The sequence below is a fragment of the Homo sapiens genome, chromosome 1 (assembly GCF_000001405.40).
Source record: "Homo sapiens chromosome 1, GRCh38.p14 Primary Assembly".
NCBI lineage: Eukaryota > Metazoa > Chordata > Mammalia > Primates > Hominidae > Homo > Homo sapiens.
In genome coordinates this window covers 67952687-67980078 of record NC_000001.11, presented here as the reverse complement: position 1 = coordinate 67980078, position 27392 = coordinate 67952687, and the positions used below count along the sequence as shown (strand labels likewise).

Here is a 27392-nt window from a genome sequence, read left to right as displayed (position 1 = left end):
ATAAAGTATTATGATTTTGTAGCTGAGTTATTCAAGCTGATACTCATTCATTGAATAACAATTACCAAATCACAATTACAAACACTGGCTGGCATGAATAATGAATGAATGATACAAAACAGGAAATTGCAAGAAACAAATCAAGAAAGGCAATTTCTGAAGTATACTAGGATAAATAAGATATGAAAGACAGATACGTCTATCACATAAAGGGGGAGGAAGAGAGGGAGAAGGAGAGACGGAGAAAGAGATTCATTCTGTAAGATGGTTATAAGTAAAAGAATAATGAATACAAAGCAGAGAATGAGGTATGCCATTTCTCACTGGAGCAGAGGAGCCAAAGATGAGAGGGGGTGGGAATTCTCAACCTTCCCCACTGTACTTAACAATTTCCTCTAATGTCTCATGTTGAGTTTTCATTTTTTTTCACATTAGCATTTAGTCCTTTTTAAAATTCTTGAGATAATCACAGTAATTATTCTGAGGCTAAAATCCACATGATTAGTATATCAGGACTGGCTGTATGAATTTTAGAGGAGAATCAAGGTTAAAAGCTGAGGTTATCCTTTCCTTTTCCAAGCTGGAGATAACTACCTCCCACATCTGAATTTTCACGTCATTTATCTATTGTGCTTTGTCCTCTGGTATTTGTATAAAGTTGAGTCACCTCCAACAGACTGTGAATTCCTAGAAAAGGAGGACCGCATCTCTCTCATCTTTGATCTCCACTGACTAACACAATAGCTAGCATATTGCAGGTGTTATTAAGTGCCGTTGAATGAAGAATGGAAGAATAAATTACTATTAGATAAACTTGCCTATTCCTTGGCTATTTGTTTTGGACATTTCTGTGGTGGATGGGAATGTCTATCCAGAAGAAATCACTAAGCTGGGGATATTAGGGAAGAATATTTGACCACAATTTTTTACATTCTATGAAATTAAAAAAAAAATACCAGTTTTAGTCACAAGTACTGGTGACACACTCTGCCAAGAACTCGGAACACTTGGAGGATTGCTCAGACCTGAGTGATTTTCAAGATCATTTAACAGGATTTGGAGAAAATTAATCAGTTTCAACTGGATATGTATGAAGGGCAGGGGCCAAAGTTGTACAAGGCGGATTCCTGTCTTGAGAGAACATAAGTGTTCTTGGAAATGTAAGACTTGAACAACAAGAGTAAACTTTAAATCAAGAGCCAAACTGAGAGGTCAAGAAAAAGGAGAGGTACCTGAGCACTGAGAATCAAAGTGGAAGGCTGACATTAGTTTCAGTGTGAATTCGTGGAAAAAGAATGAAAGTTGCTGTCATAAGACCCTGGGGTCCCAGTTACATGAATGAATGATCTGTGAAAGTTGCATCCCAGCCAGGAGCAGTGGCTCACGCCTGTAATCCCAGCACTTTGGGAGGCCGAGGTGGGCAGATCACGAGGTCAAGAGATCAAGACCATCTGGCCAACATGGTGAAACCCCATCTCTACTAAAAATACTAAAAAAAAAAAAAAAAAAAATTAGCTGGGTGTGGTGGCACGTGCCTCTAGTCCCAGCTACTCGGGAGGCTGAGGCAGGAGAATCCCTGGAACCCAGGAGGCAGAGGTTGCAGTGAGGTGAGGTCGCACCACTGCACTCCAGCCTGGCAACAGAGCAAGACTCCATCTCAAAAAAAAAAGAAAAAAAAATGTTGCATCCCAAGCTTGTTTTCTCATCTGCACAAGGGGTTAATAATGCATACCATGTTTACTTGCAAGAGTGCTTTGTAAATCAAATGAGGTCATCCATATGAATGTATTTTTTAGGTAGGAATGCTGGGCAAATGACAGTTAATATGGATGGGGCTTCGAGGATGGGTAACATTAAGACTGGCAAAAAGAAAGGGTACAGTGTGCCGTAGAGATGAAGAGCATGAGCTATGAAGCGTAGAAGTAAAAAGGGAGAGTAAAAATTCTAGCCTGATTGGAGCATGCTATATAATGGGGACATATTTATACTAAGAAAAAATCTTAATCTGAAATTCAGATTTAACTGTGTGTCCTGTATTTTTATTTGCTAAATCTGGCAAACCTACCTGGGCTTCCTCCAGCTCCGTTGCTAAAGTACAGCCCATCTATCAAGGGCCAAATGCTATTTCTTCCACTGGGTTTTCTGTTTGTCCTGGTTAGGAGTTTTTTCTCTTCAGCAAGAAGGGAGAAGGGGTAGAACACCTGTGTAATTTAGTGTTTAAGAGCTTCGGCTCTGGGGTCATGTGTCCAGGACTTAGAGTTCATCTCTCTTGTTGACCAGTAGTGTGATCCAGGAAAAATTTTACGTCTCTGGGCCCCAGCTTCCTCTTCTGTATAAAAAGAGTTCCTACACCATGGGATTATTTTGAGGATTAAGTAAACTTCACACACGTTACTTGGCAGAGAGTAATTGTTCAGTAAAATGTTCAGTATTGTTTTCATGGTAGCTTTTCCTCTTGAGACTCTCCTCCTGTCTTTTGCAGGCACTGCTCTCTTCTGATTTTCCACCTGACTTTTCCCCCTTCATGGACTCTTCATCCTTTGCTCATTCCATAAATGCTGACATTGCCCAGGGTTCTGTTCTCAGCCCTTAACTTTTTACTTAGAATGTTTTACCTGCATAATCTCAACAATTCATCCATCCATAACATTCCTGAGCACATACTATATGGAAGGCACCCAACATACAGAAATGGAAACACATAGATCTGCCATCAAGGAACATATAGTTTAGGAATGCAGAGAAGTTTACACAATTAAAATAAAACCCATTTTATCCAGTCCCATGGTGTTCCTAGCATCTATCTGCTACTAACTAAAAATCTTGTATTTCTTTCCCAACTATTTTCCTGTATTCCTAATCCTACTGTCTCCTGGACTAACTGCATAGCTCACAGACACGTCAACCTCACCAAGCCCAAAGTAGAATCCCAGCCCCTTTGTCCTTTCATCCTCCTTACCCTGGTAATTATACCACCCAGCCAAAAAAAATCACTGAGTCTTTTCCTCTTTCTTCTTCCTTCATGCAATTGGAAACAGTGTCTATCTAGTCTACTTTTTACTCTTGTTATTGTTGTTTTGTACCATTTGTGGGGGGCAGAATTCTAAGAGGACCCTTCCTAAGATTTCCTGCCATGTACACACCATGCATAATCCCTGGGACTGTGAATATGAATAATTTTACTCCTGATATTAGGTTAGGTAATATCATATAGATAACTTTAAGGAAAGAGGTTATCTGGGTAATCTAAACATCCAAGTCCTTTAAAAGAAGAGAGTTTATTCAGGCTGGTCACAGAAAGGGAAATCAGAGAGATGCAATCCAGCCAACATGAAGAAAATGAAGAGCTATGAAGTATAGCTCTAAAAGAAAATGAAGATCCATGTCGAGAACTCTAGATGGAGAGGGACAGCTTCTAGCAGCTTAGAGTGGCTACCGTGGGACAGCTACTAGGAAAATTGTGACTGCAGTCCTACAACTGCAAGAAAATAAATTCTGCCAACAGCCTGAATGAGGTTGGAAGTGGACCTCTGGCCCCAGATGAGAGCTATAGCTCTAGCTGACGCTTTGGTTTCAACTTTGTGAGACACTGTCCAGAGAACATACCCACAGCAGGCCCAGTCTTCTGAACTACAGAATTGTGAGCTAACAAATGGGTGCCGTTTTAAGTCACCAAGTTTGTGATGTTTTGTTATGCCATGATAGAAAACTAATCCATCATCACATAGACATGCCACTTTCTCCACTTTTTCATGTCAATGTGGACTTTGTTCTCACCTGGACTACTGCAGCTCTCTCTTCACTAGACTCCTTGTCAGTGCATTGAAACCTTCTCAAATCATGCAGGTTTCATACGATAGAATGATCTCTTTAGAATGTAAATTTGCCCACTGAACCCCATTGCTTAAAAGCCTGCCATAGCTTCACTAAGAGGTAAATTCCGCAATGTTTTAAACACGGTTTAAACATACCTTTAGTATTTTTCCTGTGCCCATCCCTGTAGCCTATATTTAGACCTGCAGCCTCTCCAGGCTGGGTCATGCCCCTGCCCCTCTGCTCTTGCCATTCCCTATATGGACATATCCTTCTCCACCTCTGCCTTTCAAAATGGAACCAGGCTTAGCAACTCTATGCCTTTCTTGGTCATCCTTGCAAAATTAAACTCTTTCTTTTCTATCCCCACAATATCTAATTAAGATTTCTATCATAGCACCTAAAATAATCCTTTGCATGAATGTTTGTTTATATATCTGTAACCCATTGTTGAGAGGAAAGATTATACCTGGTCCCTACAAAAGTCCCACTCGTGGTATTTGGTGCATTCTGGGTCCTAAATAGAAAGAAGATCTATAAATGCTCCTTCAGTGAATAAACAGCCAGCTATTATGCTCCTACCATGTTTCTTTTTCCTTCTTTCAGATTTTGTTTCTTACAAGGCAGTAGGTACAGGCAGGTGCTTAGTCAAGACAAAATCAAATAGGACATTATCTGGGGCAAAAGAGCTACCAACAAAAGGCTGGTAATAAACTGGATGGTTCCTGGTACCAGAGGACAATGCCTGCTCTGGTGCTTTGTCCAGCAGTGCGATACAACATTCAGGTACTCGAGGGTTGAATGTTGATATTATATATTATATGGGCACCTTGTTTCTCTGGCTCCTTCACTTGGTCCTTGTCTTCTAATGTTTCTTTTTGCTGGCTGAGGATAGGTAATGACAAAAAGGGGATAAACTTCATCAGTCAATTTTATTACTCATTAATAGTCCCCAGAATGTTAGGGCAGAAAAATCTTAGAATAATTTGGCCCAAAGTCATCATTTTACAGATGAGGAAGTATAGCTCTAAAAATATGAGTGTCTCCTGTAGGATCTCACCTGATCTGAGCCAGACCCAGAGCCCAAGTCTCTGGACCCCAAAAAGGCACTGAGACCTTCAGGAGCAATGTGAAATTTCCCAGCATAGTTATTTCTGTGCTCCATTGCTATGGCCTGAATATTTGTATCCTCCCAAAATCCATATGTTGAAACCTAATCACCAATGTGATGGTATTAAGTAGTAGGGCCTTTGGCAGGTGATTAGATCATGGAGGCGGAAACCTTCATGAATGGGATTAGTGCCCTTATAAAAGAGGCCCCAGAATTCCAGCATGTGAGGGCACAGCAGGAAAGTGCCCTCTACGAACCAGAAAGTAGGCCCTCACTAGACACCAAATGTGCTGGTGCCTTGACTTGGGACTTCTAGCCTCAGAATTGTAATAGATATCATTTTGTGATGTGTAAGTTATTTTGTTATAGCAGCCTGAAGTGACCAAGACACATACTTAATAAAGTCACATATAGTTCCAACAAAATGTTGCTTGACAAAGATGATCCAAACTTATGGCTAAAATAAAGCATTTGTATATTATTTTAATTTCCTTTCTTAATGCCTTTTTCTGTCACCTAATCATTTTGGGGGAAAGAGAGTTGATTATAATAAACTTCTTACTTTTTCCTGATTTCTTTTCTGATATCTAAGTTCTCAGGATAAATTCCATATGCCCAAACAAACAAAAATCAGCAGCTTTTCCATGCAGGATGAATAACAATTTAGAAGATATAATACAAAAGAGATCCCATTCATAGTGATGCATATGCACAAACTGTATAGTTCATTTTCACACTGCTATAAAGAACTACCTGAGACTGGATAATTTATAAAGAAAGGAGATTTAATTGACTCACAGTTCCACATGGCTGGGGAGGCCTCAGGAAACTTACAATTAAGGTGGAAGGCAAAGGGGAAGCAAGCACCTTCTTCACAAAGCACCAGGAGAGAGAGAGATCCAGGGGGAACTATTAAACACTTTTAAACCATCAGATCTTGTAAGAACTCACTCAGTATCATGAGAACAGCATGGAGGAAACTGCCTCCATAATCCAGGCACCTCCCACCAAGTCCCTTCCCTGACACGTGGGAATTACAATTAGAGATGAGATTTCGGTGGGGACACAGAGCCAAACCATATTACAAACTAAAGTTGATATTTTAAAAATCTAAAAGGCTGGGCACAGTGGCTCACACCTGTAATGCCAGCACTTTGGGAGGCTGCAGTGGGCAGATCACTTGAGCTCAGGAGTTCAAGATCAGCCTGGGAAACATGGTGAAACCCCATCTCTACTAAAAAATACAAAAAATTAGCCAGGTGTGGTGGTGCGTGCCTCTAGTCCCAGCTACTTGGGTTGCTGAGGTAGGAGGATCACTTGAGCCCTGGAGGTTGAGGCTACAGTGAGCTGTGATCATACCACTGCTCTTCAGCCTGGGGTATGTACTGAGGCCCTGTCTCAAAAAAAAGTCTAAAAATATGTAAAAGCTAGATTTTTAAAAAATCCATAAAACCTTATTGACGGTAGTTAAAGAAGAATTTGAAAATATTTAATATTTTGAAGATTATACTTTTTAAAATTAATAAATTTATCACAATTCTCAATAAATTACAAAATATTTTGACAAAGTGATTCTAATATTAACATGGAAGAGTAAACAGATAAGAGCCAAAATACTAAAAAGGATGATTAAGCAGGTAGATAAACATTTTATACCCCATAACTTATTCAATTGAAAGTGTTATTGACTATAAGAGAAACCATTTTTTACATACTATTAAAAATGTTAAATGCTCACAGTTAAGTTGTGATATAATTCTTTTTTTTCTATTGTAAGAGACATTCTGATATCAGAGATCTTAAAATGTTTTTTAAAACCTTAGAATCAATGAAATGTGGTATTAGAATACATTGTAAGTCTGTAAGAATTTGAACAATGTGGTGCTGGTGTAAGAATATAGAGGTATGTCATTATATTGTAAGTAGATCTGTTTGAGACAAAGATATGTGACCTCTTAGAGAATTCAAAGTTGCTGTTTTGAGGGAGCTCAATGAAAGTTAGGATAACACAGAGAAGGAATTCAGAATCCTAGCAGATAAATTTAACAAAGAGATTGAAGTAATTTAAAAGAATCAAGCAGAAATTCTGGAGTTGAGAAATGTAATAGACATACAGAATAATGCACCAGAGTCCTTTAAAAGCAGAATTGATCAAGCAGAGGAAAGAATTAGTGAGCTTGAAGACAGGCTATTTGAAAATACACAGTCAGAGGAAACAAAATTTAAAAATAAAAAAAAAGCATGAAGCACACACATAGAGATCTAGAAAATAGCCTCAGAAGGGTGAATCTAAGAGTTATTTGCCTTTAAGAGACAAATAGGGATAGAAAGTTTATTCAAAGGGATAATAATAGAACTTCCAAAACCTAGAGGAAGATATCAATATCCAAATACAAGAAGGTTACAGAACACCAAGCATATTTTACCCAAAGAAGACCACCTCAAGGTATTTAATAATAAAACTCCCAAAGGAGTTTCAATACCTCTGGTAGCATACTTCTCAGTGGAAACTTACAAGTCAGGAGAGAGTGACATGACATATTTAAAGTGCCAAACGAAAAAACATTTCCATTTTCCTAGAATAGTATATCCAAAGAAAATATCTTTCAAACATGGAGGAGAAATAAAGCCTTTCTCAGATAAGCCAAAGCTGAGGGACTTCATCAACATCAGACCTGTCCTACAAGAAATGCTAAAGAAAGTTCTTTGGTCTAAAAGAAAAATATGTTAATGAGCAACAAGAGGTCATCTGAAGGTAAAAAAACTCATTGGTAATAGTAAGTACACAGAAAAAAAACACAGAATATTATAACACTGTAATTTTGGTGTGTGTAAACTACTCTTATCTTGAGCAGAAAGACTAAAAGATGAACCTAACAAAAATAATAACTTTGACAGCTTTTCAAGACATAGACGGTATAATAAGATACAACAAAAAGCAAAAAGCAGGGGGAAGAAGTTAAAGAGTAGAGTTTTTATTTGTTTCCTTTTTGCTTGCTTGTTTGTTTATACAATCAGTATTAAGTTGTCATCAGTTAAAATAGTAGATTATATTATTTGCAAGTCTCATGATAACTGCAAATGAAAAAACATACAAGAGATACATAAAAAATAAAAAGCAAGAAATTATAACATACCAACAGAGAAAATCACTTTCACTAATAGGAGGATAGGAAGGAAGGAGAGAAGGAAGAGAAGACCATAAAACAACCAGCAAACAAATAACAAAATGGTAGGAATAAGTCCTTACTTTTCAATAATAACATTGAATGTAAATAAATTAAACCCTCCAGTCAAAAGACAGAGTGGCTGAAAGGATAACAAATAAGACCTAAAGATGTGCTGCCTACAAGAAACACGTTTCACCTATAAAGACACACACAGACTTAGCATAAAGGGATGAAAAAAGATCTTCCATGCCAATGGAAACCAAAAAGGAGCAAGAGTAGCTATACTTATACTAGACAAAATAGATTTCAAGACAAAAACTATAAAAAGAGACAAAGAAGGTTATTACATAATGATCAAGGGGTCAATTCAGCAAAAAGATATAATACTTTTAAATATATATGCACCTAACACTGGAGCACCCAAATATATAAAGCAAATATTATTAGATCTAAAGAGAAAGACAGACGCCAATACAATAATAGTTGGAGACTTCAACACTCCACTTTCAGCATTGGACTGATCATCCAGACAGAAAGTCAAGAAATATCAGACTTAATTTGCACTATAGACCAAATGGACCTAATAGATATTTACAGAATATTTCAACCAATGGCTCCAGAATACACATTCTTTCTCTCAGCCCATGAATCATTCTCAAGGATAGACTGTATGTTAGATCACAAAACAAGTCTTAAAATATTGAAAAAAATTAAATAATATTAAGCATCTTCTCTCATCACAATGGAATAAAACCAGAAATCAATAACAAGAGGAATTTTGGAAACTATACAAATACATGGAATTTAAACAATATGCTCCTGAATGACCAGTGAGTCAATGAAGAAATTAAGAAAGAAATTGAAAAATTTCTGGAAACAAAATGTACCAAAACCTATGGGATACAGTGAAAGCAGTACCAAGAGGAAAGTTTACAGCAATAAGCACCTACATCAAAAAAGTAAATTAACTTCAAATAAACAATCTAATGATGCATCTTAAATAATTAGAAAAGCAAGAGCAAATCAATCCCAAAATTAGTAGGAGAAAAGAAATAATACAAGTCAGAGCAGAAATAAATGAAACTGAAATGAAAAAAAAAAAACTAAAAAAAATCAACAAAACAAAAAGTTGGTTTTTTGAAAATATAAACAAAATAGACACACCTTTAGCCAGACTAAGAAAAAAAGAGAGCAGACTCAAATAAATAAAACTGGAGATGGAAAAGGAGACATTAAAACTGATACCACAGAAATTCAAAGTATCATTAAAGATTACTATGATCAATTATATGTCAACAAATTGGAAAACCTAGAAGAAATAGAAAAATCCCTAGACATATGCACCTATCAACATTGAACCACGAAGAAATCCAAAACCTGAACAGACTAATAACAAGTAATAAAATTGAAGACATAATAAAAAGTCTCCCAGCAAAGAAAAGCCTGGGACCTGATGACTTCACTGATGAATTTTACCAAACTTTGAAAGAAGAACTAGTACCAATCCTACTCAAACTATTCCAAAAAATACAGTAGAAGAGGAGGGAACACTCCCAAACTCATTCTATGAGGCCAGTGTTAACCTGAAACCAAAACCAAAGACAAACCAAAAAAGGAAAACTACAGGGCAATATCCCTGATGAACACTGATGCAGAAATTCTCACCAAAATACTAGCAAACTGCATTCGACCACACATTAAAAAGGTGATTCATCATAACCAAATGGGATTTAATGCTATGATGATTCAACATCCGCAAATGAATCAGTGTGACACATCCCATCAACTGGATAAAAGACAAAAACCCTATGATCATTTCAACTGATGCTGAAAACACATTTGATAAAATTCAAAATCACTTCATGATAAAAACTCTAAAAAAACTGGATATAGAAGGAACATCACATCAAATTAAAAAGCTTCTGCACAGCAAACGATCAACAAAGTGAGGAAACAGCCCATAGAATGGGAGAAAATATCTACAAACTACTCATCTGACAAAGGATTAATAACCAGAATACACAAGGAGCTCAAACAACTCTATGGGAAAAAATCTAATAATCCCATCAAAAAGTGGGCAAAAGACTTGAATAGACATACAAGTCTTCTTTCTCAAAAGAAGACATACAAATGGTAAACAGGTATATGAAAGGGTGCTGAACCCTCATTGATCATCAGAGGACTGCAAATCAAAACTACAATGAAATATTACCTCATCCCAGTTAAAATGACTTATATCCAAAAGACAGGCAATAATGAATGTTGGTAAGGATGTGGAGAAAAAAGGACTGACATGGTTTGGCTGTGTCCCCACCCAAATCTCATCTTGAATTGTAACTCTCACAATTCCCATGTGTCATGGGAAGAACCCAGAGGGAGGTAATGGAATCATGGGGGCAGGTCTTTCTCATGCTGTTCTCGTGATGGTGAATAAGACTCATGAGATCTGATGGTTTCAAAAGAAGTTTCCCTTCACAAGCTCTCTCTTTGCCTGCTGCCATTCATGTAAGACATGACTTACTCCTTCTTGCTTCCCGCCATGATTGTGAGGCCTCCCCAGCCATGTGAAACTGTAAGTCCATTAAATCTCTTTCTTTTATAAATTGCCCAGTCTTGGGTATGTCTTTATCAGCAGCATGAAAACAGACTAATACAAGGACTCTCTCATACACTGTTGGTGGGAATGTAAATTAGCATACCCACTATGGAGAACAGTCTGCGGTTCCTCAAAAAACTAAAAATAGAGCTACCATATGATCCAGCAATCCTATTGCTGGGTATATACCCAAAAGAAAGTAAATCAGTATATCAAATAGATATCTGCACTCTCATGTTTGTTGCAGCATTGTTGACAATAGCCAAGATTTGGAAGCAATCTAAGTGTCCATCAACAGATGAATAGATTTTTTAAAATGTGGTACATATATATACAATGGAATACTGTTCAGCCATAAAAAAGAATGAGAACATGTCACTTGCAACAATATGGATGGAACTGGAGGACATTATGTTAAGTGAAATAAGCCAGGCACACAAAGATAAACTTCTCGTGTTCTCACTTATTTGTGGAAGCTAAAAATTAACAAAAATTAATTAATTAATAAAAATTGAACTCATGGAGTTAGAGGGTAGAATGATGGTTACTAGAGGCTGAAAAGGGTGGGGGAAGTGGGGATGGTTAATGGGTATAAAAATATAGTTAGATAGAAATGAATAAAATATAGTATTTGATAGTACAACAGGGTGACTACAGCCAATGACAATTTATTGTACATTAAAAAGTAACCAAAAGAGTATAAATGGATTGTTTGTAACACAAAGAAAGGATGAATGCTTGAGGTGATGGATACCCCATTTATCCTGATGTGATTATTATACATTGTATGCCTGTATCAAAATATCTCATGTACCCTACAAATATATACATGCACTATGCACCCACAAAAACTAAAAATTAAATAAATAAATAGACCCATTTTTATAGAAATATTGAGCACACAATAAAGGTAATCTTTCAAATCAGTGGAGAAAGGATGCCTAATTAATAAATGGTGTATGAGCAGGTAACCATTTGAAAAAACAAAATTTTGAAACTTTTTCTTTTCATAAAAAGAAATAAATTCTAGGTGGATTAAATACAAAGTAAAAAAAAATAGTAGAAATGCTCGAAGTAAATTTATGTAAATCTTTGAATAGTCTAAGAATGGAAAATACCTTCATAAATATTACATCAAAGGTTGAAACAATAAATGAAAATATTAATAATTTTACTTCCTAAAAATATAAACATCAGTATGTTTTTTAAAATGCCATAATTAAAATTATAAGTGGAACTATAAACATGGAAAAATATCTATAATAAATCACTAACAAATTCAATAAGTAAAAGATAAATGTGTAATAATAATAAAAAAGAGATCATTAATAGGTATCTTTTTTTTTTTTTTGAGGCAGGATCTCACTGTTGCCCAGGCTGGAGTGCAATGGTGCGATCTCAGCTCACTGCAACCTCAGCCTCCTGGGCTCAAGCGAGCCTCCCACCTCAGCCTCCTGAGTAGCTGCGACTACAGTTGTGTGCCACCATGCCCGGCTAATGTTTGTATTTTTAGTAGAGACTGGGTTTCTCCATGTTGACCAGGCCAGTCTCAAATTCCTGGGCTCAAGTGATCCACCTGCCTTGGCTTCCCAAAGTGCTGGAATTACAGGGTTGTGCCACTGCCCCCAGCCCAATAAGTACCATATTTCATTGATTCAAGGATGCATATGTTCTATATTTTAACATCTCTAAAATCAGCAAACCTCTTCTAAATTAAATAAAAAAAGAAGTATTTCTGTAATACTTTAGTCGCAGAGGGTTTGTTTCTTTAAAATTTCTTGGTGGTACACAAAATAATGGTCTGTTTTATAACCAATGGTGTCTTAGAATCAATGAAATGCCATAATTTACAAAAGAATAAATGCACATGGCCAATAAACACATACAAATATATCAAACCAATATGCAATTCAATTTACAAGGAACTACAAATTGAAATTAAATACTTTCTTCTGGCCTACCATATCAAGAAATACGATTGAGAAAAACAATACAAGAAATATTTTGTTGGCTACAATCCCAGAAAATGGCTCGTTTTATACTGCTAATGAGAAAGCAGATTGGTACAAACTTTTTGGAGTAAAAAAAGTTGGCAAAATGTATCAAAAGTCTTAATCCAGAATCCTCCTCACCCAGAAATACCTCGTCTAAGAAATTAATATTTCTTTTATTTTCTGGCTACGCAGTGTCCTTTCTCCTTTCTTTTTTTGTTTTGTTTTGTTAGTATTTCAGATTATGAAGCCATCCTTTCTATATGACTATTTCCCATGATTTGCGTTGGACTGATACCTCTCCAGCTCCAGGGCTAAGCCATTCAGTACTTTCCACTCCTCCAGCCATAGTAGTTGATTCAAGGATGGGCTCATGACCCAGTATGGCCCAGGACTTTCATCCAGTTCTAAGAAAGAGAAACTGTCCCTTCTTTTAGCTAGAATCAAATCCAGGAGGACTTGGCTTGGAGCCATTTTGCTACCATGTAAAGCCTGAGGATAAATCCAGTATGAAAAAGGGTAAGGCTGAGAAATAAAAAGGCACTGAGTCCTGCAAGAAATGTTTCAGTACCTGGATCAAACAGCACCAGTCCTGGACTTTGCACTTAAGTGAGCCAATACTTTTATTTACTTTTAAAGTATCTATCTGTATTTGTCAGTTTGGCCTGCTAAAACAAAATACCATGAACTGGGTAACTTATAAATAAATTTAAAAAAATTATTTCTGAGAGTTCTGGAGGCTAGGAAGCCCAAGATCAAGACTCTGGCAGATTTGGTATCCGGCGAGTGCCCACTTTCTGGTTCATAGATGGAGACTTCTTGCAGTGTCCTCACAGGGTGGAAGGGGCAAGGCAACTCTCTGAGGTCTCTGTTGTAAGGGCACTAATCTCATTCATACAGGTTTTACCATTATGACCTAATCACCCACCAAAAGGCTCCACCTCCCAATACCATCACCACTGGGATTAAGATTTCAGCATATGAATTTTGAAGGGGAAATTGGTCTGAATACTCAGACCATAGCACTATTTATTTACTTATTTATTTTGCTTGAGCCACTTTTGAGTTGGATTTTCTGTCACTTGTCAAAATGGTGTCCTAATAGACATATATGCTAAGAATACAGTTAAGAATGTGAACAAAGATTGTGATCTAAGTAGAGACATTGCAGGATTATTTATCATAGTAAAAAACTGGAAACAACAGAAACACCCAACAGCAGAAGATGACTTAATGTCTAACACATTCATAGAGGCACTATGTACCAGGCACTATTGTACAGACTTTACATATTTACTAACTCATCTAATCCTCCCAAAAACTCCATGACACAGGTACTAGTATTATCTCTATTTTGTTGGCTAGGAAACTGAGGCATAAGGAGGTCAACTAATTTGCCCACAATCATCCAGCTAATAAGTGGAAGAGGTGAATTTGAATTCAGGTAGTCTTACTCCAGCAACTGTGCTTTTAACCATTAAGTTTTGCTAGTTCTTTAATCAATTATGGTATATCCACACAATGAAATACGTATCAAACTTTAAAAAATATAGTTAACTGGTATCAAATATATTCACAATATATTGTAAATTTTAAAAAATCAAGTTATCAAATAACATGTAAACTTCTCATTTCTGATCAGGAGATTGGCAGTCATCACTCTCTCCTAACAAGTAAAAACCCAAACAAAATGAAAAATCAACAACTGTTCTTAGATCTGTCAGAGAAGTGGGGTCACAGACATACCCCTGTCCCCAAAACTGAAGAGACAGACACACATATTCAGAGAATCGAGAATCACAATTTACCAGAGCAGAAACTCCTGAATAGAAATCTCCATGGAAACCAGTGAGGAGGTAAGAAAACCTGAAGTGTAATTGATGAATTACTGCAGGATCCCTGTGGGCAAATCCATGAGTTAAAAACTCCAGGGGGACTCATTCATAGAGGAGCTCCACACTTTTGTGAACTTTACCTCCAGAAGCTCAACCAGGTTCTCACAGTGAATATCAGAGAAAAACTCCCTAGAGCTTCATGTCTGGCAGGGAGAAGGGGAAAAGGAACCATTTTTAAATACACCAGAGCATTCTGTTCTTAGCAAGGCCTAACCTCAAGAGAAAATATTTTACCAAGCCTAAACTATTGAGTTTTTTTCCAGAGTCTAACCAACTCCAGCCCTTTGTAGCTCTTCTGTCCCACCTAAGTGGGTGCAAGGAGGTGGGGGGAAACTGATGAAGTACTGTGAAGTCCACAGGCCAAGGCACAAGCTCACTAAAGGGCTGAGACCTAATTATAGGGCCCAAGAATGCTTCCCCTCCCAGACAGCTTAACACCACATGACTAAAGGCCTATTAACAACAGTTGCTTTACAGCAAATCTTTAAAATAACTGTGATTAATATGGAAAGTGCTCTAATGGATAAAGTAGATAGCATGTGAGAACAGATGGGCAGTATAAACAGAAAGATGAAATGCTAAAAAAGCAGCAAAAAGAGCATATTTAAATACAATATTATATATGCATATGTGACCATTTTTTGTTTTCACTTATATTAGTCCATTCTTGCAGTGCTATAAAGGAATGCCTGAAACTGGGTAATTTATAAAGAAAAAAGGTTTAATCGGCTCAGGGCTCCCCAGGCTGTACAGGAAGCATGGCTTGGGAGGCCTCAGGAAACTCACAGTCATGGCAGAAGGGGAAACAGGCACATCTTACATGGCCAGAACAGGAGGAAGAGAGAGAAGGTGGAGGTGCTACATACTTTTAAAGAATCAGATCTCATGAGAACTCACTCTATCACAGAAATAGCAAGGGGGAAGTCCACCCCATAATTCATTCTCCTCCTACCAGGCCCCTCCGGCAACATTGGGGATGACAATTCAACATGAGATTTGGGAGGAGACACAGATCCAAACCATATCATCACTTATCTGCATTTCTTTTTTCTTCAGAAAACATGTGTCTCTTATATAATAAAAACATAATAGTAATAGTAAGAAATTATTCCTCTTTTTTGAAGCTTGGGTTGTTGCTAATTAAGGCTATAATTATCTTGGATAAAATAGGTCAAAAAACGTTGACTGTCAGCAATTTCACATGGCTCAGTGTAATAGCTAACCATCTTTGGCAATTGGAGACAAAGGCTAAAAGTTCAGCTAATTTCATTAGGAGACAGTTTCCTCATCCTTCAGCCTTTATTGCCTTTCTACTCCCTCACTTTATCTCCTGTTTCTAAAGGGTAATTTAAAACAACTTCACTTTCACAAAACTCCTGTTTAAAAGTGTTGTACTGATTATTTGTGTGCTTTATGTTCCCATCCCAACATGCCCTGTTGTTAAGATTTAGGCTGCACATTTCCCACTGTATTGTCCCTCATAAATCTACAGTTCCAGGAGTTACACACACGCACACACACACACAGCTAAAACTAAATTACCACTCTAAAAATTATAACACGAGTATGACACAAAGATTATTCCAATACAGCCAAATAGAGCAATAAAATAAAGTAATAAGAAGTAATAATGTATCTGTAAACACTTAATAGCTGTGTCCTCAAACCCCATACTAGGTATGAAAATAAAATTTCATGAGACTCCTACAAATTCATCAGAAGAAAGAGCTCCCAGTGAAACAAAGCAATGCTCATGGTTGCCAATGGCAGATAAAAGCAGAAGAGAATGAGGAGGAAAGAGAAGAGTTATATCTTGAAACGGCGACTAGCATAGCCATTAGGAATGCTGCTATTAACACAATACCCAAATAACATCAGCAGAAACAAATTGTTATATGTAAATGCTTGTTCCCTGGTGCTGCAAAGAAATAGCACTTGAACATAAATTTAATTCTCTCAGCAAGACAATCTTTATTTCCTGCAGAAAGGGTGCTCATCACAGATGAAATAATGGTGAGAGCACCCTTTCTGCAGAAATAAAGATTGCCTTGCTGAAAGAATTAAATTTATGTTTAAGTGCTAGTTATTTGTGGCACCAGGGAACAAGCATTTATGTATAACAAAAATACAGGTAAGTATTTTCTTCATGTGACAATAAATTGAGATTGGTGATTGCTAGCACTGGCACAGAGGCAGAACAATAACATCAATGAAATCTTTTTTATCCTTTCACTTAGCCATGCTTAGTCTACTGGTTTTCTGTCTTTACACACTTGTCACATCATGGATACAACATGTTAGGTGTAGTTTCTCACAATTACAAAATGTCTGGCGCATAGTAGGTTCTCACAAATGTTAGTGCCTTTCTCTGCCCATTTCCAGTCCTTAGCGCAAGGCATGAAAGAGCAGGAAAAGATCCACTTCCTCATTGCTCACCCAACAGGTATGCTTCTTCAAAAGAAGGATTTTACCAATTTACCAGCTCTCAAAAGAGAGTGCTCCTATTGAGCATACATCCTGCCAGGCCCCCTTCAGAGACAGAAGACTTTTTGTGACTTTGTGTCACATATTGATCTGGCCATCAGCTGTGGCTAAGATAGGAGGGCTGGGTCTACCACGAGAGCACTGCCTGAGCCACAGAAGTTTTTATAAAGAGGACAGCCAAGCCATCTGGGCTTCTGTCCCTGCAAGGCAGCTGTGGATGGATAAGCACCTGACATCTGAGGCCTCAGAGGTTCCTCCTGCAGATCCTTCCCAGTGGAACAAGATGCATTCATGAGCAAGCATTCACAAGAGGGATGAGGAAGAAAGGAATGATGATCTACAGGAAGCCTCTAGCACTGCTAAATCACATGTGAGGTTATCTTCCATTCATTTGACAGGTATTTTTTTGAACACTTACCATGTGTCAGGCACTTTTCTAAGTGCTAGGGATATAGCAGTGGATTTAACAGACAAAAGTCCTTGTTCTCAGTTTGCAACACGCACACAGACACAGACACACACACACACACACACACACACACACACAGAGCGATCTTTTCTCTGTCGTCCTCTACCCTGTTCTATACTCCAGGAGGCTGTCCATTGTAGACTTTTACCACCCAGCCTCCCTTGCCTTCCAGCTTTTGGTGGCATTCAGCCAATAGAAAGTACAACAGGAGATTGGAAGATGAGAGGTGAGAGATATCAGGGTATTTCTTCCCCTTACTCCCAGGGGTTTGGGCCATGGATTCTGGTCATGGCTGCATCCCTCTAGACCACAAGATCCTATCAGGTAAACCCTCCTCTGTGGCCCAAGCTCTCCATGGGATCTGTAACACGTCTCTCTTCTTGCTTCTACAGTACCAATTGTGGTAAAATCTCCCTACTGCTGCTAATCTATGCTCCTTTAACGTTCCTTGTTGGTTAACTCTGCTCATTCTGTAAATACTCCTTTACTTAGTCTCTTGAACCACTTTAAAAATATTTCATTATTTATAAAATATAATAAGTGTAGTAGTGAGTAACAATATAAACTTACATGTTGAAAGCAATAATATTTCTGGTTTTGTAACTTTATACGATAAATAATATTAATGTAACATCTTGATCAATCATAAAATTTTTGTTTAGCTCACTTTTTTACAAATTAATTTATTAGGTCATCAAGTTTTATACTTTTAGCCACTTCATTTCAATACATATAATTAAAGAGACATAAATCATTCTTGATAAATACAAGATTGCAAATAATTTTTAGTATTTTTTTTAATTTTGAGAAGGATCTTTCTGCTAATGCAGCTATTCCTGGAGCTGTTAAAAGGATTTTATAGGTGGTGACACCATGGAGATAAATTACAGACAAATTGTTTTTAAATATAAATTTTATTTTCTCTAGAGCTGATGATTCTTATGGAACAATTTTTTAAAAAGGTTTAACTCTTCATACAAATGAGTTTCATGTAAGTCTATACATTTAATTTTAAATGCTAATTTACATAATCGTATTTAAATGTTTCTTCTGGCTTTTTAACTTATGGAGGTTGTATAAGAAACGGAAAGTGGCTCCATGATTTGTATATAATTCAAAATGCATGCTTATACATTCTATCACTGTATCTTCAATTATAAGAAAAAAATCATTTTAAAATTGTCTTCCTTATTGATAATGGGTTCGTCTGAAGATTCACGTGAAAACAGTGTTTTCTGTTGAATGCAATAATCTTCCACTTTAGTTTCTATTTCTAAGCTAGTGAATAGTAAAGCAATGTTATAGTAGTTTTCAAAATCAAGGATTTCAGACTCTGAAGAATTATATCTCCCTGATATGCTTTCTTGCAATGTCAATTTATGGACTTTTATCTTGTTATTATTTGCCCACAAAGTTTACTGGCTGAGCACCAGCAATTTCTGTCCCAGCACTTTGGCCAAGAATTCGTAAAACCTTGGAAGCAGGCTCCAGGGATGGATGGATAGGCAAGCCAACCTCCCATCAGGGGTTCAGGAAGTTTCCTCCATGCAGAGCCACTCTCACTTCTACAGCCATGCCTATTGCTGCTTCTGCTGCTGGCCTTGCATCACCACTGCCAATCCAAGCCTGGACACTGTCTCAGGGCTCCACAGCACAGCAGCTGCCTCATGGTGTGTGCAGGCATATCAGTTGGCCAGGCTGCCCATGCATATAGGCATTGCTGCTCGACCACACTGCATATGTGTGCCATTCTCTAGTGCACTGCCTCTGCTCATGCTCTCTGTGCACACTCCATTGCTACATTGGGCTTCACTTACTACACACAAGTTAAAAGACAAAATTATTAAGAATCTCAAGACAGCAATAGCAGAGGATGAATCCAAGCACAGGTCCTTCAGAGCATGGGGCCCTGGTCAACTGCACAGATCACACACCCATGAAGCCAGCCCTGACCTGACATGTACACTTCATGAAGTGTATATGCCAGTGGAAGACACGGCAACATGAACAGATAAACAAGAAAAGGTATCTTAAAATGCCTGGGAGTGAGCATGAAGTATTACAAAAAAACAAAGCGGGACAAGGAGACAGAGTGTCAGGTGATGGGGTGTATCTACTCTAGTGTCGGGATGGGTGGTCAAGTGAGGCCTTTCTAGTGAGCTGACATTTGAGGAAAGATGTAAGTGAATAGAGAGAGTACATCTTGGTAATGACCAGGAGCAGAGCATCCCCAGCAGAGGGAAGAGCAGGTGCCCAATTTCTGGTATGGGAACCTGCTTAGGGAGTTTGAGTAAAAGCAAGAGGGACAGAGTGTCCAGAAGGGCAGGGAGCAAGGACAAGAGTGGCAGGAAACAAGGTTGGGAGAGGCCCATGGGCCCTAGCTGGACCCTGTATTTTGTTGTCAATGTGTGGGAAGTCGTAGGAAGAAGGATGGCTGAGGAGCAGCAGGATCAGGAGGGGAGTGGAGAGTAGGATGCACAGAGCTCCTCCCGAAGCCTCCTTATACCACTCTCCTCCTCTCTCACTACCTCATTCATTGCCTCATTCGTTAGTCTCCCCCAGTCCTCCAAAAACATCTTTCATGCATAGAGCCCTCACTGATGCTGTTCTTTCTGCCAGACGTTCTGCTGACCACTTTTCTCATGGTGAGCCCCTCCTACTCTTCCCAGCTCAGCTTAAACTTCACCCCAGGAGCTGGCACCCTATCCCATGGGCCTCCCCCACAATCCTGCTGCGGCTCTTTTGAAATTTCCTTCATAGGAAACTTGACCACGGTTTACATCCACACTCTCTGCTTACTTTCTTGACTATAATTGACAACTTTTATCTGTTTATCTGTTTACTTATTTCTGGACTATCTCCTGAACCAAAATGTAAAATCCAAGGGCAGGGACTATGTCTTCCTGTTTGCCACTGCTAAAGCACAGCCTTCTCACAGCATCTGTGACATAGGAGGTGAGAATAACCATCCGCCCAATGAATGAACCTCTCTTCTGTACTTACCATCACAATATGTATTCTGTGGCTTAGCAATTCTGCCACTGCACCTGAAATTATAGAATTTCATTCCCGTGCTTGCCATCAATTAAACGTGTAATTGTTTTAACCCTTAGTGGCATCCTTATCTCCACCAAGGGAACGCTCCCTTGTTATACACAAGCACACACACACACACACACACACACACACACTTTTCAGTTAATCCATCTGTTGTTTCTCTGTTGTGCTTCCAAAGCACTTTGTCCTTACTGCTGTCACAGGACCCACCACCTTGCATTATACTGCATTATAATTATTTTGTTAGACATCTGTCTCCCCTTGATGCTATAAGCCCCTTGAGGGCAGAGAACTAATCCAGCTCACCTGGGTAATCCCAGCTTCTAGCACTGCCCTAACACATGGAGGTGACTCATATATCTTTGGGGAATAAGTAGATGCATTTTAGAAACTTTTTAAATATTGGCTACTTCTATGATCAGATGCAACATTACTGAAGCCCTGCAGTTAAATGAGCATGGTGTTATTTGCATAGTTTAATAATTTTTAAATGAAATTTTAAATGCAATAGTATATACCCTCATGCTTTTAGGGTCCCTTTACAACTTGATATCCCCTCCTATCCCCAATTGTGAAAGAGCACGGTATATTTGCAAAGCCTTGGGCCCAAAACGATAAAATGCTGATCCACAAAGACACCACATTGGCTTTCAGCTGTTGTTATTAACCAACATGTATCGCTTGAAAGAAACAGACTTAGAGTGGGATGGAACAAGGCTCCACTAGATGTCAGCTCTGAAACTAGACAGCTCTGTAATTTTTCCATTACAGGTGCACATGAAAGGCCAATCTCCAATTGGCTAGGTAATCATTATCCTAGGCTGGCAGCCAAAACTGACTGCTGACTCTGCCCTGGCCTGACAGATGGAGCAGGCACAGGGTAGGTTATTAAATTCACTAGGGGCCAGGTGTGGTGGCTCATACCTGTAACACCAGCACTTTGGGAGGCCAAGCTGGGAGGATCACTTGAGCCCAGGAGTTCAAGACAAGCCTGGGCAACACAGGGAAACCCAGTCTCTACTAAAAGAAAAAAAAAAAGCCAGACGTGGTTGGAGGGGCCTATTGTCCTAGCTACTCAGGTGGCTGAAGTGGGAGAATTTATTGAGCCCAGAAGGTCAAGGCTGCAGTGAGCCACGATCATGCCACTGCACTCCAGCCTGGGTGACAGAGTGAGACCCTGTCTCAAAAAAAAAAAAAATTATTAGAGATCAGAGCTGCTCCTCAGAGTGTGGTTAGCTCTGAGCAGGGGTTGCAGTGCACATTGACTCCTTACTGTCTGATTCTCCTGTTGCACTCATTACACTTGGTGATCCTCTGACACAACCCTCTCCCCAGTTTCCTCTCTTTGGCTCCCACTTAAACAATCACATACTGTCTTGGTTTTACAACAAATATTTTCCATGTGAAATTAAAAACTTGGAATCACAGACACAGGAATTATGAAACGAGAGGGAACCTGAAAGATTATCTAGTTCTTCTCCCTCATTGGACAGAGAGAAGGATAAAATGGTTGCAGGCCCATTAGTGGTACCTCTAGAATAGCCCAGCATTTCTGACTCTCAGCCTGTCCAGCCTGGAGGGAATGCCCCAGAGTAGGACTGTCCTGCTGAAAATTCCTTTTCCAGTTCTCAGCAGTGATTATAGGCTGAGTCTGACCAGGTCCTGGTTTTCCTGTTTGTTCCGTTTTCTCATTTAACACCTCAGAGCCTAGCATGAAGACAATATCCTTTCAACCAACCCCACCACAGAAGCGCTAACAACATTCTGCTATTCCACATTATGAGCCAAACATTTCAATTTGTAGGTTCCTCCCAGGTGAAAAATGGATGTGCCACCAGAGAAACTTGTGATGGAAGCATTTTTCCTATACCACCCAGAGAGGACAAGACCAGTGTTCTGTAAATCCCAGAGGAAACTAGGCTCTTACAAGCCCTGAAAGGCCAAGCCAAACCTTTTTCATTGTTCCAAGACATGTGAAAGGAGTTTGATGTACAACCACTCAGGACAAAAATAAGCTTTCTACTCAAATGAAATCCATTTTATGAGATCCCCAGAGCGCTTCTTTTGGCTGGTAGCCTGGGTGCCGAGCTTCAAAAACCTGTGCACCTGGGCACAGTATGCAGGACCCAAATCCAGAGGCCCACTCCTAACCCCAGAGGAAACAGCCCATGCATAACCATGAGCCCCAGCTCAGTCTCCACTCACAGAGTGAAATAAGGAAGAATCCGCTGGGGAAGCTCCCATAAGAACAGATGCCAGAAACCCATTCCAGGAGTCTGTTTTCCATCAAGCAGGGAAGACTAAACATGCTTATCAGCTTACATGCAAAATGATTGCCTACTGCTTAAGAATCAGCTCAAATTCCACCTCCTCTTGATACGTTCCCTAAAGCCCTAAAACAGTATGCATGCCCGCATCCTCTGAGTGCCCCTCTCTGACTCTTTTAAAAACATGAGTCTATATGGCTCTGCAGATCTTTTTCATGTCTTTTATGACATAATATGAGTTAGTGAGTAACCCTGCTCAGATCCAAATTTTCTCTGTCACACCTAAATGATTTGATTTATATATCAGCATGCATATAGCAACAAATATAAGTTTTACTCCTCACTATGCCCCTTCTTTATGCAAGTTATTTAAGCTAATGGGGGTCCAGTTTACTGATCTGTACAATGGGACCACAAGGCCTAATTCACTGGGCTGTCTTGAGGTCTAAGTGAAATAATGTATATAAAGCAATTTGCATGATATTTATACCCAATAAATGTTTCTTCCTCATCACAGTCCCTCTACACAGGCATGTACTCTCCCTACACAGAAAATCTTGCAGCCAGAAGCATTTCCAAATTCAGAATTTTAATATTCATAGCAGCCCTATTGGTTCTGGGGCAGCATGCTATAAATTTAACATATTACTATTTTTGAGGGATATGTCTGAATACCCGGCTTGTATGAAGTCTATAAAAGGTTTCAAATCAGTCTGGCCAGATTTACTGTCAAACAAGAGTTGTAAACTTCTGAATCAACTTTCCATTTTCAGAGTCCCTTGGATTTTGGAAATGTGGCCAAGGGATTGTGGAGCTGTGTTATGATGATTTATAAAGGTATTGGGCCCCCACTAGTTTTGAAGGGCAGGTTTAGCATTTGCTTTCCTTAGTGCCTGACTCATGTTAGGAATTCAACAACCCTTTTTCAATGACTGAGTAAATGAAGGAAAGAATGTACATTACCTAAGAAACATGAGAGTGCTCCTGTTCCTTCATCTCTCACAAGTGGAATTAGTCCTTTTGTTCTTTCTCCATATTTCATCTCCTGCATGTATTCATTTGGCCAGATACTGGGGGATGGGGAAAATACAACATCAGAGTAGACCTATGTTAAGGGCAAGAGTGCCTCTGGCTTGTTCCTCCTTGTGATTGTAAAAATTATTTCCTGGGAAAGAAATATGATTGTATATTATCTTCTAAAAGTTTTGACTTGAATGATTGCTCTGGAACTGGAAAAGAAAGCAGCAACTTTTACTCATGGTATAAATGCTCTTACAGACATAGGTTAAAATTTAAAATTGCCTTGTAGCCAAAGAGCTGAAATGTTTGTGGTTCAGGTTTACCCTAGTGACTGAATATTATTCTCTCACATTTGATGTCAACTAAGCAAGAGCTGTGATAAGAACAGCACTTTGTGATTGTGTAACACAGCATTGAGTACCTTTAAGTGCTGGGCAGGTGTAGAACAAGTCAGAGAAATTGAAGAGTTGAGACAGTGTTAGAATGATCCATGGGGAGGCCGAATGAGAAGGAATCCTGAGCACAAGATGAGGGACGGATTTACCTTACTTGGGAAGAAAGATACCTTTTTCACTAATTTGGGAATGAAAGAAGCTATGGATGGGAATATAGATTGGTTTATAGGTAGGGAGTGTTCAGAGGATGAAGCAGTATCAACTCAGTGCTTGTATTTTCGTGATGAAATAAAGTACAGCATTATCTACAGACTGTGTGGAGGCACGAGGATGGAGTGGGGGACTTGAGCAGAGTGAATTTGGGGAAGGCAGTGTGGAAAGTGTGACAGAACATGCTCTTGAGAAATAGAAGAATGATCTGCTATGGAGAGTTCCATGGACAGGTGTGCTCATGACTTCATAATTATAACAGTGGCCAAAGCTCTGTGGACTTCTCCAGCAATGTTCAGCACCTTGGTATGAGAGCAGGAAAATTACTGGTTCAAGTTGGGGGGAGGGAGGGTTTCCTTGTGAATACAATGGGAATATTCACAAGGAAAATGTTAAAATACACAGGAAAATATTAAAGTGATTGACCATGCACTCTGATCTTAGGATTGAAGGATATGAAGTCATGGAAAGAGATGTGATCTTTCTCTCTAGATCTGTTCTTCCAAAAGGTGGATTCATGTAGTGGTTAAGAATATAGACTCTGGAATTTGACTTTATGCATTCAAAACCCACTTACTACTGGCTGGTGATCCTGAGCAAGTTACTTGACCTGTCTGTGCCTCTTTATTCTCATTTATAAAAAGGGGATGTTAATAGCACTTATCTTGCTGGGTTGTTATAAGGATTAAATGGGTTAGTATACTTAGACCAGAATTTACATAAAATAAGATCCATTTTAAGTATTATCTATTATTCCTCTGGAAGTCTCCATTTCAGTAACTCTATCTCCATTTACGTAGAAGGTCATTATAGCAACTCGGCAGTCATCCTTGACACCATCCTCACTTCCCACACATAATTCCTCTCAATATCAGATCACTTTTATCTCCAAAATTGATGTAAGATCTCACTACTTTTCTATTTCCATTGCCTCTATGTTAGTCTAAAGCACCATCATCTCTCCCCTAGACCGTGGCCATTTTCTCCTAACTCATCTTCTGGCTTTTTCGCTTGCAACTCTAACATCAATTTTCCACACCATAATTGGGCAGTGTTTCTCAACCTCACTACTGGCATTTGGAGTCAGATAATTCTTTGGGGTTGGGAGGGTATCCATGCATCTTAGTGTGTTGAACAACATCCTTGGCCTCTACAAACAAGATACCAGTAGCACCTTCCTTCTCCCCCAGTTGTAATAATAAAAAATCTCTGCAAACATTGCTAATTGTCCTCTAGGAGACAAAATCACCACAGTTGAGGACCATTGCTATAGGAAGATAGTACACAATCCAAAAAGATACAGAATATATATAAAATAATATGTCTTGAAAAAGATCAAAAGTAGAGCACAGATACCCCAACTCTGATATTGGTCCTCTTTCCATTAGGACAAACTCCCTCCCAATGTTTACGTTAAGAAACACACAATTTGGGCCAGGCACGGTGGCTCACGCCTGTAATCCCAACACTTTGGGAAGCTGAGAGGGGTGGATCACAAGGTCAAGAGATAGAGGCCATCCTGGCCAACATGATGAAATCCCATCTCTACTAAAAATACAAAAATTAGCTGGGCATGGTGGCAGGCACCTGTAGTCCCAGCTACTCAGGAGGCTGAGCCAGGAGAATCACTTGGACCCAGGAGGCAGAGGTTGCAGCGAGCCGAGATTGTGCCACTGCACTCCAGCCTGGTGACAGAGCGAGACGCCAACTCAAAAAAAAAAAAAAAAAAAAAAAAAAGAAAGAGAAAGAAAGAAAGAAAGAAAGAAAGAAAGAAAAAGAAACATACAATTTAATACCAACATAAGATGATTCTGTTATATGACAAAAGAGGATTAAGGTAGCTAACCAGCTGACCTTAAGATAGGGAGTTACCTTGCATTACACTGGTGTGCCTATTATAATCACAAAGGTCCTTAAATTACAATATTATATCATATATTATTAATAGTTATAAATAACATATTAGCAATATATTATTATAATCACAAAGAGAAGCAGAAAAGGTCAGAGTGATGCAATGTGAGATGAATTTGACCTGCTGGCATTGGCTTTGAAGATGGAGGAAGGAACCTTGAGTCAAGAAACACGAGCAATCTCTAGAAGCTGGAAAGGGCAAGGAGACAGATTGTTCCTGAGGGCCTTCAGAGAGGAATGCGGCCTTCTGGCCCCTTGACTTTAGCCCAGTAAGACCCATTTCAGACTTCTGAACTACATAACTGTAAGATAATACACTTGTGTAATTTTAAGCCACTAAGACTGTGATAATTTGTTGCAGCAGCAATAGAAAACAAAATACATAATCTCTTTCTAGCTGTGCAGTCTAAGAGTTAGTTAAGTTCTCTAAACAGAAGTTTCCTCATATATAATAATAACAATAATAATAATAATAATACTTAACCCTCGGCTGATTGTGAGAAATAAATGAAGAAATGGAAATAAAATGACCAGATTAGTTCTGGACTGAATTGTGTGTTGCCCAAAATTCATATGTTAGAGTCTTTAACCCCCTATACCTCAGAATTTGACTGTACTTGGAGTTAAGGTCTTTAAGGGAGTAATTAAGGTTAAATTAGATCACATGGGTGAGACCCCAATCCAGTATGACTGCTGTCCTTATCAGAAGGAGAACCACCAGAAATACTTGTGCACCAAGAAAAGATCATATGAAGACACAGTAGAAGATGGCCGTCTGCAAGCCAAAGAGAGAGGCCTCAAGAGAAACCAAGCTTGTCAACACCTTGATCTTGGACTTTGAACCTCCAAAACTGTGAGAAAATAAATTTCTGTTGTTAAGGCCCACTCAGTCAGTGGTATTTTGTAGGGAAGCCCTAAAAGACATACAGCTGGTCATACTAGAGAGTCAATAATACTAATTCTTATTATTACTTGTTCCTTCTTAATAAATATGGAAAAT

At 38.7% G+C, this 27392-nt stretch overlaps 2 long non-coding RNA genes across 3 annotated transcripts in view; both read right to left on the bottom strand.

Moving 5' to 3' along the window:
* GNG12-AS1 (GNG12, DIRAS3 and WLS antisense RNA 1) overlaps window positions 1–27392 on the bottom strand; it is a 370700-nt gene that overhangs the window by 222909 nt on the left and 120399 nt on the right. The window lies entirely within an intron of this gene.
* LOC124900403 (uncharacterized) lies at window positions 1701–25928 on the bottom strand. Of its 2 annotated transcripts, none has more exons than XR_007066162.1 (3): window positions 24295–25928; window positions 23817–24018; window positions 1701–4698 (listed from the first exon to the last, which is right to left on the bottom strand). It is a non-coding gene; the product is annotated as an uncharacterized LOC124900403 (long non-coding RNA). The 2 variants fall into 2 exon arrangements; XR_007066161.1 differs by having other exon boundaries at window positions 23817–23923.